Genomic DNA, 22,107 nt, shown 5'->3' with positions numbered 1-22,107 from the left:
CTTTACGTGCAAGAATCCCGTATATATATATTTTGTATTTTTCAAAAGTTCTACAGATTTTTTGTTTTGAGACAGAGTCTTGCCCGGTCACCTAGGAGTACAGTGGCACAATCATAGCTCACTGTAACCTCAAACTCCTGGACTCAACCAATCCTCCTGCCTCAGCCTCCCGAGTAGCTGGGACTACAGATGCATGACACCACACTTGGCCAATGTTTTAATTTTTTTTTTTTTTTCTGTAGAGACAGAGTCTTGCTATGTTGCCAGGGCTGGTCTCGAAGTGGCCTCAAGCAATCCTCCCACCTCAGCCTCCCAAAGTGCTAGGATTACAGACGTGAGCAACCGCACCTGCAGATGGTTCTTATGCACAGCAATATTTGGGAACTACTGGACTAGATTACCTTTGATGGCCTTGTCAGCTCTATAATTCTATTCTAGGGTTTTAATGAAAAGGAATTTATATTAGAACATAATAGCCCAATGACAGGAGAAGGAGTGTGAGTTTATTCATTTTGACTTGGGACTTTTGTATGGTTGTAGACGGTCACATTTTGTACTGCATCTTACTGTGTGGATGTTAAAGAGTAAATGATAATTACTGGGGTTGTCCTTTTTATATCAATACACTAATTCCATGAAGGTCCTTCTAGCTTGTAACTTTGTGTAAAGCTGAAGCTACCTACATGTTAATTCTGTCTCCATCATATGATTCTGCCATCACAGAAAACCCATGAAACATTACGACAGTAAACATTGGCTTAATGGAATGAGGCAGAAGGATTTTCCTGGTACTGAGGGGAGGGGTCCCCTTCTAGAAAATGGAAAGGAAATGATCGTTTACTATGGCTGAGAGCTGGATTTGTCACGAATTGAAGCTGAGGATCTTTATCGAGCCTTCCCCACCTCCACCTGTGAGATCTGAAATACTGGAAAACTTGGAATTATTACCCTGGGATTTTTCTGATAGACATTTTTAGATTATATAAAATATGTGTATATATCCCTAGCCCTATTCTCAGTACTCTTACCAGATGATACTGAATATTCTAGGAGTATTTGCAGGAGAATTCTTTTAGATATTGCAGTTATATTCTTTCTCTTATTCTGGATATTAATCTGATTTTCAAATATGCATTCATGTCTGAGACTGAAAGTCTCGAGTTCCTGGTAGTGGCTGTTTTTATACCTAGTCATCTGACTGAGAATATGGTGCCCTAAGCTCTTGAGGGTAATCACTTAAATACATCTCCCTTAATCTTCTTTGCTGGGCAGTGAGAAAAGGAGACAGTAAGGAGCCAGGGGAACAGAGAGAATTGTGGGGCAGCACCGCTCCTTGGGTCCCCACTCCCCATTTCTCATTGCTTGGAAATCCATGCCAAGATGCCTGCCTTCCTTGGTCTAAAGTGTCTGGGGAAATTGTGCAGCTCTGAGAAAAGCAAAGTCACCTCATCTGAGAGAACCAGTGCCAGGGGCTCGAACAGAAAGAGACTGATTGTTGAGGACCGGAGGGTCTCTGGGACCTCCTTCACCGCTCATAGGCGTGCCACTATCACTCATTTGCTGTATCTCTGTCCCAAGGACTACTGCCCACGTGGGCGTGTATGTAACAGCGTTGATCCTTTTGGTAAGTAAAATAACCCTCTCTGGACATGGTTTTGTGTTTTGTGATTGGCGTAATTAAGAGAGTACTATCCAGATCATTCTTCTGTAATGTGTTCTTCAAAGGAAACACTATCCTTAATATATAATTAATGGGGGTGAGGGTGGGAGAGATGGAGAATGTAACATAAGTGTAGCTACGGAGCTAAATCCCAAGGATATTTTTGTCCAGGATTTTATGATCTTCAGTAACAAATGTATCTCTTTCCAAACTTGGTATGAATAATTGTCAGTAATAGGAAGTATGATGGAAAAGAAAGATCTCTATCTGTAGATGTTATTATTTCATATGACAAAGGATGAATGGAAAGGAAATATTCAAGGGGGGAGATGGAGGCTAGCAAAAGATAAGTAAAGTTGAGGTCCAAATTGTGTCACTGTGTAGGGAGGGCTCGTCTTGTGAAATGTTCTAAAAAAGAAATAAAATAAAAAGAAAGTGTTTTAATATTGAGAGAACTTGTTGAGGCTTCTTTTCAGTGAAGCTCATTAAAACGTGTCACTCATCCCTCTGCCTGGGAAAGAGGTGGAGAAGGCCCACTCTGAGGATAGAGTTATTGCACTTGGGAGTTTTCAGACTTTGAAGTTATCATGGTGCCTTTGTTAATGAAGATGATACCTACCCAACTGCTCACACCTTGTCAAAGTCAGACCTAGAATTGGTACAGGAAGCAGAAGGCAATTAACCATGGTCCCTACGAATGTATGAAGTTAAGTCAAATAAGCCAGGAAGCATAACGCATTCCTCGTCATTCTTGGACAGCCAGAGTTGAATTGGATTCAGTTTAGCTGAAGTACTGGAGTTAAGATGTTCTGTTTTGTTGCAATCAGCTTTCAACAGCTTTATTGAGTTATAATTCATATGCTGTAAAATTCATCCATTTAAAGTCTATAGTTCAGCGAGTTTTAGTATGCAACTGATATGTTACATATATATTTTCATTGCCTCAAAAAGAAACCCTGTACCCTTTAGCTATCGCCTCCCCACCCCAACCTCTTCATCCCCATCTCTCAGCCTTAAGAAATCAAAATCTACTTTCTGCCTCTTAGATTTCCCTATTCTGGATATTTCATGTGAATGGAATTTATAATCTGTGGTCTTTCGTTTATGGCTTCTTTCACTTAGCATGTTTTCAGGGTTTACCCATGTTGTAGCACGTGTCAGTACTTTATTCCTTGTTATGGCCAAATACTATTTCACCGTATAGATATTCCACAATTTGTTTCTGCTTACACCAGCTGATGGACATTTGGGATGTTTCCAACTTTTGGATTTTATGAATAATGCCTCTATGCATATCCATATACAAGGTTTTTTTTTCTTTTTTCGTGTCAGATGGGTAATGTGCCAATGTCATAACAAGGTTCGAGGGTGGCTCACCTCACACACGCGTGTGTGAACACATCAAAAGGATCATCATATACAGGTTTTTATGTGGACATATGATATGTTCAGGGCTCTTGGGTGTATACCTAGGTGTGGAATTTCTGGGTCATATAATAACTATGTCTAACCTTCTGAAGGACTTCTAGATTATTTCACAAAGCAGTTACTCCATTTTACATTCCCACCAGCAGCATATTAAGGTCCCAGTTTCTCCACATCCTTGCTAACACTTGCTATTATCTGCCTTTTTTTTTTTTTTTTTTTTTTTGAGACGGAGTTTTGCTTTGTTGCCCAGGCTAGAGTGTAATGGCGTGATCTCGGCTCACTGCAACCTCTGCCTCCTGAGTTCAAATGATTCTCCTGCCTCAGCCTCCCAAGTAGTTTGGATTACCGGCATGTGCCACCACACCTGGCTAATTTTGTATTTTTAGTAGAGATGGGGTTTCACCATGTTGGCCAGGCTGGTCTGGAACTCCTGACCTCAGGTGACCTGCCTGCCTCCACCTCCCAAAGTGGTGGGATTATAGGCATGAGCCACCGCGCCCGGCCTTATCTGACTTTTTTATTCTAGCCATCCTAGTGGGTGTGAAGCGGTATCTCACTGTGCCTATACAGAGCTTTGGCTGGGACAGAGAGGGCTGACAAGCAGATCAGTGCTCAGGCAAGACAGGATACCGACTTCGACAGCTGCTGATGGTAACAGCTCCTTGTCTCTTACTCTTAACAGTCTTCTCTTCATGATTCCAGGCACATTCCTTTTTAGGGGAGCAGGGAGCGGGGATGAAGAAGCCATGCCTTCTGCCCAGTCCCCTTACAAGCTCTGCTAAGAAGACTTTGTTCAGAACCAGCTGAGTATGCCTATTGTAGCAAATGACACCTCCCTCAAAAATCAGATCCACATACTAGGGGATACCTAGAATCCCTTTATTGAGGAAAAAATGTTTTATTCCACAAATAGGAATAAAAATGAAACATGTAGATTTCTGCTGGAGCTAACACTTTATTCTGAATGACTTCGATGCTTCTATGGAATGTTTCTACTCAAACAGACTCAAATCAGATATTTTTGGAATGAGCCACTGTTGCTCTTGAAAGAGATAAGATCTGTTGGGAGGAGAAGGCAGGAAGGCAAGGGGAAGCCAGGTAAGCTGTAGTTTAATGAAAGCATGCTGGATAATGACTTATCAGCAGATTCCCTCACTTGGGAACAAGAGAATTAACAGTATCCGAGAGAGTTCTGGATACAGGAAAGGTAATCATCATTGGGATATCCATATCTTAGTGGAGGCAGATAAGGAAATCTGGGAGATTAGTTAAGTGTGGCTTTGAGGTTGGACATTCCAGAATTTGACTCCCAGCTCTTCTACTCACTAAATGTGTTACTTTGGGAAGTTAGTGATTCCAAGTGCGTTTCTCTGTCCCTAAGGTAGGCAGGGAATGCATACCTTATAGGATTGCTTTGAGCAGGCCTATCCCTAGAGTAGATGGGGCCCTGGGCAGATTTTTTTTGTAGGGCTCCTGTCTATATAAACAATTTGAGTCACCCAAAGCAGTGTGTCAACAGCTCAATCTGTTTCAGTCTTGGGAAAGAAATGCCACACCAGCCTGAGGAAGTGATTGCTTGCTAGGCTTGTCCCCTAGAATGGAGCCAGCTCCAGGGCCCCAAGAAACCCATTGGCATGACTCCTGGGGCTCCTTGGGGCATCTGGCCAACCCCTTGCACAGTATGGGAGAGATGCAGAGGATCACTAGAGAGATCTGTGAAGAGGAGGCTCAGATTCCCCATCCAGACAGCACTGCTGGCCCCAGCGATCCCAGGTACCAGAGCGCACTTAGACATTTTTGAGGAAGGAATGGGGTTAGGGCAGGGGCCCTGCTTGCGTGTGTCTAAGGGCAGTATTGATTATGAGAACTAAATGAGAACCTGGCTGGGCATGGTGGTGTGGGCCTATAGTACCAGCTACTTGAGAGGCTGAGGCAGGAGGATCACTTGGGCCTAGGAGTTCAAGACCAGCCTGGGCAAACTTGCAAGACCCTATCTCAATTTTAAAAATTGTAAAAAAAGATAAAAATAAATTTAAAGAATGAGAACGTGCATATCAAAGTGTTTGGTATAGTGGCACACAAAAGCATCCACTAAATGTTAATTTCAGTAATAATAATAGAATTGCAATATAGTCAGCATTAGTCATTTTTGACAGTCTCTATGGAGGCTGAATTAAAATAATAAAATAAGAAAAAATTGTTTATTATTGTTAAAAATAATTTCTATTGTTTGCCTTCCATGCTGTGAAACAATAGAGGCCCAGAACTATAGATGCTGCACAGGACGTGGGATTCCCAGAAAGCCACTGTGTGTTCAGAGCATCCTGTTTAGGACAGGTGCTTGGAGGAAGTGCGCCCTCCTGCAGCCATGCATGTTCCTGTGCTACGAAGCCCCAGAGTGTTCAGGAGCAGCTCCTGGCAGGGTGCTTGGGAATATTTGGCAAAGGCCTCCTCCAGCTGCCAGAAAGATCTCACGATGCTGCAGCTTCCTGTTATTGTCTGGTGCTCAATCCCTGCTTTGAGTTGTGCTGGACTCCATGATTTTCCAAGTGTCCCCATGCATATGTGTCCTTTGTAAAGCTCAAAACAACCCTTGGATGTTGCAAGGGAAGAAATTGTTTTCCCCCACTTAACAACAGCAATGAGTTAGCAAGAAGATGGGAAAAGTGGGCAAAACAAATATATCAGTGAACATACAAAATAGCTTCCGCAAAAATATATCAGTGGGCATATATCAGTGAAATAGATCTGTGAATATACAAAATAGCTTCTGCAAAAATATATCAGTGAGCATATATCAATGAAATAGATCAGTAAACGTACGAAACAGCCTCTGCAGCTTCTGACTGTAGATGTAGTACTGTTCTTGAAGAACGGCTGTCATTCATTGAGGGCCTACTATATCTCAAACATTGTGATAAGTGTCTTTTTTTGTTTGGTTTTGTTTCTGAGACAGGGCCTCCCTCTGTCTCTGAGGCTGGAGTGCAGTGGTGAGAACAGGGCTCACTTCAGCCTTCACCTCTTGAGCTCAAGTGATCTTCTTGCCTCAGCCTCCCATGTAGCTGGAACCACAGGCGCATGCTACCAGGCCTGGCTAATTCTTTGATTTTTTTTTTAGAGACAGGGTCTCACTTTGTTGCCCAGGCTGGTTTAAAACTCCTGACCTCCAACAGTCCTCCTGCTTTGGCTTCCCAAAGTGTTGAGATTACAGGCGCAAGCCACCATACCTCGCCTGTGCCAAGTGTTTCATGATTTTTCCATGTTTGATATTCTCAATGACTCAACAAAGCAGGAATTACTTTTATCTCATTTTACAGAGAAGGAAACTGGGGCATATGCAGTTAAGAGACCTGCCAAAGGTCACATAAGTACTAGATTTGGGCTTAGGTCTGCCTGACACCCAGGTTCGTGGTCTCAACCATGATGTCACTCTGCCTCAGCCTGAGGAGCATAAGAGTGGGTCATTCATGAGGTACGCTGAACACTGGCACACCTAAAGTTTGTAAATAATATTGCTAATTACGTACTTCAGCAACTCAAATTTGAAGACTCCCATAAAGTATATTGCTGTTGCCAGGAAAATTAGCAAAGATTTCCTTCCTCTAGCTCGTAAATACAAGCTGTCTGTATGGAATGTTCCCTTACTCTCCTGTAGGAAATTAGAGTGAAGTTTTTGAACCTGTGTTTCTTTCTGTCCTTTGGAGCTTTTGGGTCTCATACAAACGAAAGAACATATTTAGGGCGATTACCTTCTTGACAAACAAACAAGAGACTGGCACTATTATCAAAAGCCCCAAGGATATCTGGAGAGGATTCAGTGATTATGTTGTCAGCTGAGTCCAAATCCCAAAGCAGAATGTTCTGGACTGGAGAGCAGGGACCAAAGTAGACTTGGCAGTCCCCTCCCTGGAAAAGCAGTTCATATCCCAGAAGAGAGAAAGGTGGTTCATGTCTGATTCAGGCACCTGCTGAGACCTTTCTGTTACATGCAGCACACCAGGTGTTGTCTTCACTCGGAATGGTTTCCCAAGACCCAGATACTCAGGGTATCACGTAAGTGAGAGAACCTCTTGGGTACATTATTGTTTCTTAAAGCAATACCAACCTGTTTTCAAACTAAGTAGAACATATAACACTATAATATTTTTCTTTTAGTGTGCCCTTCTTACCCCATTCACTAATCCGCAACCCCAGACCTGTATGTCAGAGGGCTAGGGGAAGCGTCTTGGGTATAGTAGGCCATAGGCCACAAATGGCTTTGTTGTCAAAAAGACAGCATATTCTTCAAGATGCTGTGGAGCTTTTCTATAGCATCTTCCTGGTAACATTGAGAGTCTGTGTCAGGGAAAAGGTTTTAATTCTCTCCAAACCCTGAAACTCAGCTGTGAAGGCCCTCTATTACATTTGAGAGAAGTGTTTGAGCTAGCCATAAAAAATACATCCTGGGAAAGTTGGTAAGAAGGACCAGCATGTGGTTCCTGCCCTCAGACCCGCTCTCCTGACTGATGGCTTTGACTAGGCTACTTTGAGAGGCAAAGTAGTGACCGGCATCTGCTGCTGGCAAGGAGACACACTGTGTTGTGGCCTCCTGTTCCTCCAGCATGCTGGGTCCCCAGGGCCTCATCCGGTTTGTTGATGGGATATGGTTCCCCCCAAACAGCAGTCTTACTTTAACTTTTGTTCTCCTGAGGATGGAGATGATAGGTGGTGGCCAGTTACTTCTACATCTTGCAAGGGCATGAATGGAGAGGGATTTGAGGTTTCAGCTATTTGGGAAAGCATTAGATAGTTTGCATTTTTTTTTTATTTATAGTTACCAATAACCCCTTTTCAATTCCCTAGGCTTCTCATTCCATTAGTTTAATCATATTTCCCAGAATCATACGTTTCAAGCTCTTGACGGTTAAGCCTTTCTATCACGTCCCACTCTTAACCCCCAAACACCCGCATCAGTCTTCTTTGTCACAGATGTTTGAAGGATGCTTTCACGTTGGGCCTCTCTTTGTATGTGCAATTCTGCTGCCTGGCACAGTCTCCCCAGTTTCTCTGAGGCCCAGCAGGCTGCAGGTTAAGCTTTTCCTCCTCTGGGCCGGCCTGATCTTACCTCTTGCCTCGTCCTCCTCTGTGTTTTCATAGCATCCTCTGCACATCTTTGTTCAAGTTGCCTGTTTATAAGCTTCTCCCTTTTCATACACTGAGGTCCTCTCTGAGGGCAAGGAGAGAGCTGTGCTCTTATTTTTATTCCATTATAGTACCTGGCATGGAAAAAAAGCTGTGAGTGATGAGTAAATGAATGAGTGAATGTTCGCAGAAATCAAATCACTATGTTCGAAGAATACAATTCGGCATTAAATTGTCCCCCTGCCTTCAAGTAGCTGAGGCCAGGAGAAGCTGCAAAGCAAACTGGTTGCAAATTCAGGGTTATGGGGTCAGACCTCGCTGCCAAGTTCAAAGTCCAGCTCTGCTCTTTGCAGTTCTGTGACCTGGGCAAGTGACTTAATATGTCCGAGCCTTAGTTTTCTCGTATATAAAATGTGGATAATACTACCCACATTGCAGCGGTATTATGAGCCCTAAGAGAAAATACGTATTTTAGAAATGCTGGCATTTAGTTGGAGCTCGATAAATACTTCCCCCTCTTCTTCTCACCCAAATGTGTGAGAAGTTGAATAATTGTCTAGATAACAAATACAATTAGTTTTCAAAGGAAAGAAATATCACTGAAGGGAAAGAGAAAGTAGGATTTGCGATTTGAGCTGTAAAATAGATATGATTTACCCAAAATACGAGTAAAAGGAAAATAGCCCAATGATCTGAGAGTGGAAAGAAAAAGGTAGAAGTAAGACACTTTTCACCTAGTTCCACTGGCTGAATCTACTTGGTCCAGCTTTTTTTTTGTTTTATTGATGGTTGCTTTTTGTTTTGTTTATTTTATTTTTAGTCCTAGGAATGTGGGCAAGTAACTATTTTCACATGAAATGTTCCCATGTAAATTACTTCCTTGAGTGAGTAAATATGCTGCAATGCCCCATTCGTTTTAATTAAATGTACTTAAAAACTAATCTTATTTAAAGTCAGAGGGTAAAGCAGTCTGTTTAAGTTTATTGTTTGGCATTGTTTTAATCCAGGCTTTAAACAAATTTGAATCTTACTAAGAGTGGCTTACTTTCAAAGAAATCCCTGATTTCCCATCCTTTGATCCTAATGATTCTGGGGCATGACCCAGTGCTGATTATTATGGATGGACTCCTGTTAACTTGGCAAATCAGCCATGGACCTGTGACGGCCATGGGTACAAGACAAAGCTGCTAACAGAAAGGGAATATGGATTGTGTGGAGGCTGGGCACAGTGGCTCACGCCTGTAATCCCAGCACTTTGGGAGGCCGAGATGGGTGAATCACGAGGTCAGGAGGTCGAGACCAGCCTGGCCAACATAGTGAAACCCCGTCTCTACTAAAAAATACAAAAATTAGCCTGGCATGGTGGTGGGCGCCTGTAGTCCCAGCTACTCAGGAGGCTGAGGCTGGGAAATTGCTTGAACCTGGGAGGCAGAGGTTGCAGTGAGCCGAGATAGCACTACTGCACTCCAGCCTGGACAACAAAGTGAGACTTTGTCTCAAAAAAAAAAAGAAAAAAAAGAGGGGGGATATGGATTGTGTGTTACTCATTGGGGTGGACAGGTGGCCAGCACAGGCTTGATTTGTCTATGGACTACAAGACGAAGGCTACCAGTAGGAAGGTAATATAAGGTGAATACGTGGTCAGCAGATGGGTGATTCTGTCCCTGGGGTGGAAGATGAAGGCTGCCAACAGGAAGGAAGCATAGTCTGTGTGCTGTTTGTTAGGGCGTGTAGAGGTAGCCAGCAGGAAGATTCCTTTCTCAATCTCAGAAAGCAGCACACCCAGAATACACTAGAGAAACCCTTTGCAGAATCAGGATTTAAGTATGTCAGGATTTTAGATAGACTATGATATGATATGCACGAGGATTCTAGATATTTCTCAAAGGTAGAAATAAACCTTTGATATCAACACCTTTATTTATTTATTTATTTATTTATTTATTTATTTATTTATTTATTTATTTATTTTGACAGAGTCTTGCTCTGTCACCCAGGCTGGAGCACACTGGTGTGATCTTGGCTCACTGCAGCCTCTGCCTCCCGGGTTCCAGCGATTCTCTGTGCCTCCGCCTTCTGGGTGGCTAGGATTACAGGCATGCACCACCATGCCTGGCTAATATTTTTGTATTTTTAGTAGAGATGGGGTTTCACCATGTTGGCCAAAGCTGGTCTTGAACTCCTGACCTCAAATGACCTGCCCGCCTCGGCCTCCCAAAGCACTGGGGTTATAGGTGTGAGCCACCGTGCCCAGCCAACACCTTACTTTTGTAGGAAGTAAGAGACTGAGGTCCAGAGAAGTAAATGACTTTCCTAAGGTCTATGGTATAATCAGAGGGTAGTGTTAGATTAAGACCCTAGCTCTCCTCTCTCCCTGTTTGATATTACATGAGAAGACCAAAGGATTATTAATTTTTTTTTTTAAGTTCAGTTGGAGATTCAGCTCGGGTGAAACTTTCCTGTGGAGTCTCTCCAGACCTCTCCTCTTTTGGGCTCTGCTGTGTACCACACAAATGCCCATCCAAGCACCTCTATGCTTGGCTATTTGTATCTGTTTGTTTGCGTGTCTCCCTACCAGGTAGTAAGTGCCTTAGTGGCAGGACAGTTGTTTCCGTGGTTTCTTCAGACTATAACGCAGTGCTTGGTAAGTAAAGGTACTTCATACATTTTAAAATGGAGATGTAATGTAGTACACCATAACATTCACCACTTTAACATTTACGAGCCTGTGCATTTTAGTAGAACCACGAAGTTGTGCAACCATCCCACTATCTAATTCCAGAGCATTTTTATCAGCCCAGAAAGAAACCTTGTGCCCGTTAGAAAACATCCCTGATGACTCACATTCCTCAGCTGCTGGCAACGACTTATCTCCTTTAGGTGTTTGTGGGTTTTCCTATTCCAGACATTTCATCTGATTGGAATCATGTAACCTGTGATTTTTGTGTCTAGCTTCTTTTACTTAGTATAATGTTTTTAAGGCTCATCGAGGCGGTAGCATTTATCAATACCGTATTCCTTCTTATGGCTGAATAGTATCCCATTGTAGGGATATATCACATTTTCTTTATCTTTTCGTCAGCCGATGGTCATTTGTGTTGTTCCTGCTTTCTGGCTATTATGAATAATGCTGCTATGAACACTTGTTACATGTTTTTGTGTGAACGTGTTTTCAGTCCCCTTGGGTATATACCGAGGAGTGGAAATCCTGGGTCATACGATAATTCTCTGTTTAACTTTTTGAGAAACTGTCAAACCGTTTTCTACAGTGGCTATACCATTTTACATTCCCACCACTTAATACAATTTCAAATTAAATTAAAGCTATTCCCTCAAAGTGAAATAACCAGTTTTCCCATATGTACACAAATCCTATATGTACATTCTATTTACATCCTATATCTTAATCTTCAAAACTGCTTTTATCTTTACAACATAAAGGTCTGCAAACATTATATAAAGAAAGGTAGGGCCTTTACTTTGAGAAATCATTTAGCTGGCTTGTAAATTCACTTTCTGTAAGTGACTTACTGTGGCCCCCCAAGTTTTGTTTGTTTGCTGTTTAGAAGTCTTTCCTCATCCAAGTTCTGTGGCCATAGATAACAACCAAAATTAATCAGAGGACATCAGAGACATTATGACTCACAGAGCCCAGAAAAATCTAGCTCACAAAGGTTTGTCTGCAGCCCAAGTGGAGAGGGAGAATTCTCATGCCATAGAGTAGGATCTCCTGGGATAAAGATGAGCTGGGGAAGAAAAGTCAAATAGCTAGGGCCACAGCTAGCGCTCAGCCAGCTCCCTTTCTGTCCATCATGACCTGGATCATTTTGTAAGGTCATTTTTGACATCACTAGAATATTCTGGGGTGTTTAATATTTGCTGTCCTTGTGGGACAATTCCCAGTTCTGTTTCATATTGGTCTTTTCCCTGAAGTGCTATCATGTGATTCTAGTGTGTAGCTGGATATGTTCTGTTATCCTTTCCTTGGGCTCTTTTCCCTAAAGGGCACAGACTCTATCTTCACTTGGTAGCCAGTGGCATTATAGGGGCAGTGGCTACTTAATAACTGCCTAGGCTGGGCACGGTGGCTCACGCCTGTAATCTCAGTACTTTGGGAGGCCGAGGCAGGCGGATCACCTGAGGTCAGCAGTTCAAGACCAGTCTGGCCCAACATGGTGAAACCCTGTCCCTGCTAAAAATACAAAAAAATGAGCTGGGCATGGTGGTACACACCTGTAATCCCAACTACTTGGGAGGCTGAGGCACAATAATTGCTTGAACCCAGGAGGCAGGGGTTGCAGTGAGCCAAGATCGTGCCACTGCACTCCAGCCTGGGTGACAGAGTGAGACCCTGTCTCAAAAATAAATAAATAAATATTAATTAATTTATTAATTAATTTAAAAAACTGTCTAATCTTTGAGGTCACCAATTGGTCCAGTGCTATCCATGATGGGAATACTAAGTGAAGTTAATTGTTTAGTAATACTTCAACTGAACTTGATTTCACATAGATCGTGGTTCAATTGGTCTATTTTAAGAGTTTAAAGAAGATGCAAACAGGATCCAACACATTTCCTGGTTAACTTCTATATCTACATACCAAGAGTGATCCAGTTCATTTTTCTATATGTGGCAGCAGCTGCTGAAAAGATGTTGAGCCCAGCCAACCTCCTGTAACTCCTCCTGTAGTCGTGAGGACCACATTAGACTTGAAGCTCACCTTATCTCTCTTGCTGAGCGGCAAGCATTCCTTCCTTTGAATCTTCATACCGTTTGGTCGGTATCTCTGATTCCAATCCCTTTCTGCCTTGTTTTAGAGTTATTTAGGTCCTTGTGCTGTTTGGTCTACTTAGATGTAAGGTTGTTGAGGGCTTAGTTTAGGTATCTTTGATCTCTATACCACTTGTGGCTCCTTGAAGGTGATACTTCGCATATTGCAGATGCTCAGTAAATATTGTTAGCCTCATTAATGGGTCAACATTCATTTGTTTCTCTTCATTTTTTCCTTTGATTTTTGCCCACCTAGTTCTCAATTGTGGATGCTATGGCTGAATGCTCATCTTGTGGCTTAGTTGCTTTTTTTCCTGTGTGCAAATTTAATGGCCAATGAAGCATATTGGTAAATGCTCAGTGCTCTTAGTATACGTTATTCAGGAAGAGGAAATATTGTGTAATCCAGATCCAAAACCAAGAAGAATTTAAGTTCTAAATATTTTCCTTCCTGTCCACCCTCTAATCTCCTCCAAATCCCAACAAATACAATACATATGCGGAGTGTTTTCATCTTGCTAGAGATAGTGAGAGAAAGGAAAGGAAGAGACCTACCTTCTGTATCTCTTTCGAATGTACAGCCAACTTGGCATATGGCATGTAGTACTAGCACAATCTTTGGTTGAATTGTAGCAATATGCAGCTGTTTAAAATGGTAAAAAGAGAGCCCATGTAATATATGTGTAAATGTTATAAAATGACTCATTTTTATAGAGCTTGGTAAATGTCATAAGTCACATCCTTCTGCCTAAAACATAAACACAGGCCAAAAGGACATTTTGGGGGCATATTTATTTATGAGGCAGTTGGTAGTTCTGACCTCTGCTACCAGAGTTAATCTAAGTTGTCTCCTTTACATATTTTAAAGGAAGAAGTACTTTGGCGTAGTCTGTGTGCATACAAGTTCCTTTGTGTTTGTATAATAAGGTGATCCAATTAATGATTGATTTTCTTGAGAAAAAAATATATTCTGTCTGATGAACATGCTTGGTCTTTTCAGGACATTGTTCTATTTAGAATCTGTCTCTGTTATCTTTAGATGAAAGTGATCAGTGACTCAAGACAAAATTTTTTTTAGCATAAAAATATGGATCTTAGATTCTCTTTTGTTTAGAACTCCCTGCCAAAAAAAAAAGAGACTCTGCGAGGAAAACTTAAAAGCAAGTAATTTATTTGGAAGGTGATCCTAGGAATCACTGGTAGAGGAGTGAGGCTAATAAAAGGTGCAATATCAAGCCAGTTACCAGTGTGGGCAGCAATTCTCAATCCATTGGGAAGTCTAAGAGGTAGTGTGGGATGTGCTGCAGAGATATCCCAGCCAAGGGGTGAGGAAGCTGGGGTATTTATCTACCACCTCCCCATCACCATTGTTTGATAGCTGCTTTCAGGTACATTAACTCACGCATTTTGATGCTTCTAGTAATCACATCTGACTTGTAGAGGCGAGTGCCACGGAGGTATGGGTAGGGCGCTGACAGATTCCATTGCAAATGATCCCAACTGAGATATTATTTTGGTAAACATTCCCTCTCCATTCTAATGGAGGATCTTTTGTTTCTGAAGAACAGAAATCCACTTATACTTTTCAATAACCCAATCAAAATAGGTAGAGAGATGGGGGATAGGAACCCAGGAAATGCTGGACAGCCAGGCCTCAGGAAGTACAGAATTCCAGGCTGCTCCAGGACCAGCAGTTTAGTTTGAGGGGAGGCCCTATTCTCTTCCCGCCCGTCTGGCTTCCTCTGACACTCTGTCCCTTGGGACTTTGGTCTACACATGGTTCTGTGATGCCTGCACCTGGCCTGGCCTAACTTTATCTTTTAAGGTGAATATCCATCACTGACTGGGACTTTTATATGTTTCTCTAACTTCAGATTCTTAGGAGTAAAAATCTAATTGGCCCAGTTCATCTTTTTCAAAACTGGATAAAAAGCTGTTGGCCAGCTGATGTATGGGCCTCTCTCTGATCCAGTGTCTGCTAACAACCTAGTCATCCATAGGCAAGGGGAGGAGTCATACGGCTCAGTGCCTACTCACAAGATGGGTAGAGCAGGGACAGACGAGCAATGAATGCGACAAGGTCCGTCAAGAAAGATCATTACACCTAGGCAATGATTCCATATTGAATGAAAATCTTGTCCTGAGAATTCCATGGCATTTTCATGAATATACAGGTTAAATAACAGGAAATATGAAATAAAACCCCATGTGATTATCCTTAGAACCAATGTGTGTGTGTATATATATATGTATATATACAATATATACACATATATATATATATATATATATATTTTTTTTTTTTTTTTTTTTTTTTTTTGAGATGGAGTCTCACTCTGTCACCCAGGCTGGAGTGCTGTGGTGTGATCTCGGCTCACTGCAAGCTCCGCCTCCCGGGTTCATGCCATTCTCCTGCCTCAGCCTCCCGAGTAGCTGGGACTACAGGTGCCCGCCACCATGCCCAGCTAATTTTTTGTATTTTTAGTAGAGACGGGGTTTCACCATGTTAGCCAGGGTGGTCTCTATCTCCTGACCTTGTGATCTGCCCGCCTCGGCCTCCCAAAGTGCTGGGATTACAGATATGAGCCACTGTGCCTGGCCAGAACCATGGTATTTTTTAAAAATTATTTATTCATCAGTCTGTCCGAAAGAAACATGCTGTAGAAATCTTAAATGTTAATGAATTAGAAACAATTTTGGTTCTTGCACTAAGAATCTGGATATAGGCTAGGGTCAGTGACTCGCACCTGTAATCCCAGCACTTTGGGAGGCTGAAGCAGGAGGATTGCTTGAGCCCAGAAGTTTAAACCTAGCCTGGGCAATGTAGTGAGACTCCCTCTCTAAAAAAATTTAAAAATTAGCTGGATATAATGATGCATGTCTGTGGTCCCAGCTACTCAGGAGGCTGGGGTGGGAGGATCACTTGAGCCCAGGATTTGAGGTTGCAGTGAGCCATGATCTTGCCACTGGACTCCAGCCTGTGTGACAGAGTGAGACACTATCTCAAAAAAAAAAAAAAAAGAATCTGGATATAATCAGTAAAAAGTTAAAGCTATGTCATCTCCCTTTTCTTAAAAAATCCTGAAGATATATTTGCCTTATGATACCCTTTGCCTTACCAAGTCCAAGAAACAGGAACTGGGGTATAAACACAGTGATGAGATTTTATATAATCTCTAAGCAAAGATGAAGTGATTGTGTGATGTGATCTGAGGTTGCTTCTGTGAGATGCTTAGATGAAGAATCTTGTACAGTCTGGTGCCAGTCATTACCTCCCTACTGTGTACACGAGAACAACAGCACTCTCATAGTTGTCTCCTACTCACCTCCGATTTTTGTTAGTTGTAATGTTGTTTTCACATTTCCCTTTGCTCAAAACATTTCCATATTCCTCTCTAACCATAATCAGGTAATTGTGGTGTCAGTTTCCTATTTAATTGAATTCACTGCTCACTGCTAGCACTTTTAGTAGTGTTTGCATTCCTGAGTTTATTTTAATTCATCTCTTAATTGGCTGGATGTTGTTTTCCAGCAGTTTTCCCAAGAAGGGTTCACGGTGTTGTGCTTCCTGAACACCTTTCTGTTTGTGGTGGTTTGCCCATTGCCCTTATCTCTGAACGACGTTTTGGCAGGTGTAAGTTTCTTGGTTCTTTTGGCAGGTTCTCGGACATTTTGGCAGGTGTAAGTTTCTTTCTTTCCCTCAAGACATCCAGGTATTGCTTCATCATCTTCTAAGTATCAGTGTTGCTGTTGAGAAGTCTGAGGCTAGCCTGAGTTTTTCTCTTTTTGTGAGCAGTAGGGGTTTTCTGCCTGGACATATGGAGAATGATATCTTTTGGAGTTCGAAGCCTTAGTCTAGGACTTGGAGTCAGCATTCTGTATCAAATTTTGCCAAAATATATTATATCTATACTCTTTAAATCTGTGAATTCAGCTGTCTCTTCATTTCAGAGGTATTCTTGTGTATTTAATCTTTGAATACATCTGCTTCTTAGGTTCTCTACTTCTAGGATATACATTTAAAAAAATCTTTCTTCATCTTGCACATCTATTGTTTTCTCTCATTGTTTGAGGCTCTTTCTTCTGCATTCATTGAAATCATTTCAAAGTTTTCTCTATGCTAGGAATTAGATATTTTATCAGTGTTTGTTTTGTTCTTTGATATTTCCATTCTTACTATTGAAATTATCTTTGTCCTTGGTTTTTATTTCTTAATTTCTCTAACCTTTTTCATCTAGTCCTGTTGTGTCACCATTTCATCCTTGAGCTCTTTTTTATTTCATGCAGTAATTCAGCACTCTGCATCTGTGCTCACTCTCCTTAACTCTAGTTTCCATAGAGCAGCAGAGGATCCCATGGAGCTGACGATCAGATCATGCCACTTTCTCTGCTCAACTCCTGCAGTGGCACTGGGTGCAGTGGGCTCACATCTGTAATCCCACCATTTTTGGAAGCCAAGGCTGGAGGATCACTTGAGGCCAGGAGCTCGAGACCAGCCTGTGCAATAGCAAGACCCTGTCACTACAAAAAAAAAAAATTAAAAATTAAAAATCAGCCAGGTATGGTGGTGCACACCTGTAGTCCCAGCTACTTGGGAGGCTGACGTGGGAGGGCCACTTGAGCCTTGGAGGTTGAGGCTGCAGTGAGCTATGATCATGCCACTGCACTCTGGCCTGGGTAACAGAGTGATACCTTGTCTCAAAACAAAACAAAACAAAACAACTTAGGGGAAAAGCCAAGGCCCTTTACAATGACCTGCAGGCCCTAACTCCTCCACCTCACTAACTTCATGCCTCCTGCTGTCTGCCTCCTGATCTCACCAGCCTCTCCACTGCCTTGAACATACCAGGTGGGCTCCCGTCTCAGGACGTTTGCACTTACTGCTTACTCTGTCTGGGGTGGTTTTTCCTCAGAATCTACACGGCTTATTCTCTTCCCTTCTTCAGGTACTTACTCACATAGCACGTCCTCAAAGAGGCCTTCCTCTACTACTCTACTTAAAACCACAGCTTCTCCCCCTAGCAGTCTCTGTCCCTGGCCTTGCTTTTCTTCATAGTACTTACCGCTTTCTAATATATAATCATACAGATTTGTATATATGTATACATTACTCATGTAGTTTATTATGTCAACTTCAACCTTCCCAACTAGGACATAGCTCCTTCATGGCAAGGATTTTTGTCTGTTTTCTTTGCTGTGATATCCCAACACCTAGAACAGTTCCTGACACTTAGGAAACACTTGATAAATATGTGTTGCATGAATGAATAGGTTGAAGATAACAACCATGTCTTCCTGGGAAGATTTGCTAACATCGAAGTCCACTTTTTTTTTTTTTTTTTTTTTTTTTTTTATGATTGGCTTCACAGTGACTTTCTCATTTGGCAGCAGAGGTCATATAACAAAATATCAGGAGGGGGTCTAAATTCTTTAAGATGTTACAGGTTAAATCCCCCAGCTTCGATATTATTAAAAGTCTCCTTATACCTTCAAGTGCTTTTGAAAACTTGAATTTCAGTTTTCAAGCTTATCCTGTTTTATTGTGAATTGATGAGGCAGTGAGAAATGAAATAACAATAGTTATTACCCTTAACTGCGTTCCTTCTTAGTGCTAGGTACTTTCTTTTGGGATAGAACACCTGTTATTCTCACCCAACACAGGATACATAATTTTCAGGCCCAGTGCAAAAGGAAAAGGTGGGACCCCTTGTTTAAAATGCAGGAGAAAGTGCCATTAGTGGTACTCAAATATAAAGCTTTTTTCTTTATTCCCCAGATTCTCTCAACTCAGTAGTTCTTATTTTCTATTTAATGTCATCCTAAATAAAGTAAAATTAAAATTTTAAATTATTAATGTGAATTTTACCTTTTATTGTGCAAAGCCAATTTTAAGTGCAAATACAACAACTTTTAACTCAATGGAATCACTGAAATTACACAATTTGTATTACACGGGTCATAGATGTTATGTACTTTATTCTTTTTAGAACAGTAGAAATACACAATACGTACACAAATCTGACTCAACTGTTTTTTGTTGTTGTTGTTGTTGTTGTTGTTGGTTTGTTTGTTTTGAGATGGTGTCTTGCTCTGTCATCCAGGCTGGAGTGCAGTGGCGCGATCTCGGCTCACTGCAGCCTCCGCCTACTGGGTTCAAGCGATTCTCCTGCCCCAGCCTTCCAAGTAGCTGGGACTACAGGTACCCGTCACCATGCCCAGCTAATTTTTGTATTTTTAGTAGAGACGAGGTTTCGCCATGTTGGCCAGGCTGGTCTCGAACTCCTGGCCTCAGATGATCCTCCCACCTCGGCCTCCCAAAGTGCTGGGATTATAGGCGTGAGCCACCGTGCCCAGCCCTCAACTGTTTTCATTTCACTTCTTGATACGTGCACATTTTACCAATGTTCTCTACCTTTGACTTATTGATGAATAAGGAAGGGCTAAAAGGAAGACAGCGCTAGTTGCCCTGTCTTTCCCTTTCCTTCTATGTCATCATTTTTGGTGTGAGTGGTTGGCTAATATAGGGAACTAACATGGATAGGAAGGAATATAATAAGATTTCTTGGTTGTTTGTATTTCCTAGAACATCATTGCCTTCTCCGTGCATTCAAAGCAAGCATCCTGGTTTGAGTGGAATGTGACTCAGTTATGGATATAACACACCTTGTCCTCACTTTGAGTCTCCCTGAATTCCTACACATTGTGACTGCAGTGGAATCCTGTGCTCACGGGGTGTTGCAAACACTCTGTGTGCACGGGCAGCAGGAATAGCAAACACACAAACTGCACGCATCTCATCTGTTCACATGTGTGCTCCGCTCTCCCATCAGACTTCACTTACAAAACACAAGTTCAAAGACTAAATTATTACAAATGTCAGGATGGCAATAGCAAAGCATTAAACCAAATAGAGACATCTTCTGAGCATGAACATCTTCTGAACCTATGCAACGCTGCAGGTTACATGCCATGAAGCTGCCGCTGTCCTCACCACAACCTCACAAGTGGAACGTCTCATACCATTCACAGCTGAGACTGCTGAAACCCAGACAGAGAAAACAATGTGCCCAGGGTCACTCAGCATGTGGTGGAGCTAGAATTCAAACCCAGCCTGTGTTTAATCAGGCGGCCTGTGTGGCCGGTGTGGCATGATAGAATAACCACTGGGTAGGCGGCAGGATGTGAGGGGTTTTGACCCATTTCTAAGTAATTGTGTAACCATGGACACGTCTGCTTTAGGACTTCTGCTTTTATCTTAATTAGTGCCTATTTATGAATACAAGTTATAGATTTCCACAAACCAGGGTGTGGGTTGCATGGTCTCTTCTCTGTACTAAGAACTAGAGAAACTTGCTGAGATGTGTTAGATGACAAAGCTGCCATTCCTGTGGTAGCAAATGCAGTAATGGTTGTGTGTGTTGCATGTTTTACTTGGCTAGTTCCTCCGATGATGACTGACAAATCCAAGAGTATGAGAGAGAGGTTATTTTCTGGGACTGTTCCAGGGCATAATTAGGAGAATTTATTATAAGGCCAGATGAGGTAGGGGAACAAATGTAGGCTTTGTAAACCTTGCAAAAAAATTGTTTTTAATTTTAACTTGCTGTCTACATAAACCACAGAAATGCCATTCCTTAAGAATGATTAGACAGGGTGGATGATTACACTGCACTTTTGAAGTCTTGCTATGTGGGTCTGGGTACATTATCTTCCCCTGTGCAGCCAACGGTGAGTGCCACAGACCAAGGTTATGATGCTATTCACCTGACAGGTCCTTCCATATGAAGTCCAAGAACCGATGAAGGATAAGGTATCTGGAAAAAGGATTGCTTTACACAGGCAAGGCAAAGGGCAGCATCATTGCTATCAGGCCAGGCCTTTTAGAAATGCCTGTTGATGTACATTGAGTGCACCTTGCCTACAGAAATGCTTGTGTGTGTGTGTGTGTGTGTGTGTGTGTGTGTGTGTGTGTGTGTGTAGGCAGGGCATGGGACGAGAGGCTCTTTAACAACCTCTGCAGAAGGGAAGGCCCAGTAACCCAAAGAGAGGGCCCATGGCTTTGGCCTCTCACCAACCTCTTTTCTCACATATAAAGTATAATAATATGTACTTCATCCAGTTGTTATGAGGACAAGATGAGGTGATACATGTAGAGACTAGAATGGTGGCTGACACATACTGGCCTCTAATGGTGACCGAAGTAGCTGTGAGGGTAGGTTATAAAGGGGACTTTGTAAAATGACTGCCTGATGAAGTTCCTCTTTGGCCTACTTTCTCTCCAAAGTAATTATTGGTTTGTATCTTGGCAAATACTTTGAAGCAATTATTAAATTTATTTTTATCTAAGAGACTGAATTTACTCTTAATTTATTTGAGTTAGATTTTGAAATCAGTCTATTTGTATGAAAAGGAATATTTATTTATTCATCAAATATTGCATTCCTACTTTGTGCCTTTGTGTATTACTATGTGAATACAGCACAGATACAATAACATGTGACCCTTTCCCTCAGAGAGCCCACAACCTTTTGCAAAAATAGATATGTCCATCCTTCATTACAACATAGTCAACTTCAGAGCACTTGGTGGTGGTAAGTACCAGAAAGAGGGGAGTGTTGTCAGGGAAGGCATTGCAATTCTACCTGATAGAAAGCAACCATTTTTATATCCCAATAACTGGATTTCTATCTAGAAAATATTACAATAAAAGAGAAAGCTGGTAGTAAACTGTTTTTAAAAATGGCCTTTTCCCAAATAATTCAGAGAACTATTTTTGTACTTGTGTACTCGTGAGTCTGAAGTTAGGCTAAAATCTCTGAAACTCTTTACTATCCCAAGATCCTTAGAATTCTAGTAATAGCTTTTGCTGCTCTTGTAGGAAAATGATTTATTTTTTGTTCACTCTGTCATTTATATCCTTAGTGATTTGTTTAGAGGGAACTTTAAATATACCGTAGTAATTTTCACGATTTTTCTTGAGGTGCAACCTATTGCTTGGGTCCAAACTCAGAACTGGCTTTTGAAAAAGACCATGGAGAAGTTTGGATACAACCATAAAATAGTTCTACTTTAAGAACTCAAGGAAAAGAACTTTGCCGGGCATTGATTCTATGAGATTCATATGGAA

The 22,107-nt window shown here is 41.7% G+C and overlaps 1 protein-coding gene and 1 non-coding gene across 30 annotated transcripts in view; one reads left to right on the top strand and one right to left on the bottom strand.

Moving 5' to 3' along the window:
* The window catches only part of ABLIM1 (actin binding LIM protein 1), a 370,264-nt gene that overhangs the window by 141,793 nt on the left and 206,364 nt on the right, over positions 1 to 22,107 (top strand). The window contains exon 1 of one of the 29 annotated variants that reach the window (NM_002313.7): positions 1,306 to 1,624. The exons of the other annotated variants lie outside the window; for them this stretch is intronic. Within the exon in view, the coding sequence (NP_002304.3) occupies positions 1,381 to 1,624 (244 nt within the window). The 5' untranslated portion in view covers positions 1,306 to 1,380. Of the gene's footprint in view, positions 1 to 1,305; positions 1,625 to 22,107 lie in introns of those variants that run through there. 29 annotated transcript variants of the gene reach the window in all.
* On the bottom strand, positions 2,987 to 3,086 carry LOC124902588 (small nucleolar RNA U13). Its single transcript, XR_007062421.1, has one exon. It is a non-coding gene; the product is annotated as a small nucleolar RNA U13 (small nucleolar RNA).

The sequence above is a fragment of the Homo sapiens genome, chromosome 10, assembly GCF_000001405.40.
Source record: "Homo sapiens chromosome 10, GRCh38.p14 Primary Assembly".
NCBI lineage: Eukaryota > Metazoa > Chordata > Mammalia > Primates > Hominidae > Homo > Homo sapiens.
Note: the sequence above shows the minus strand (reverse complement) of the source record. Positions and strands in the feature narration are given on the sequence as shown.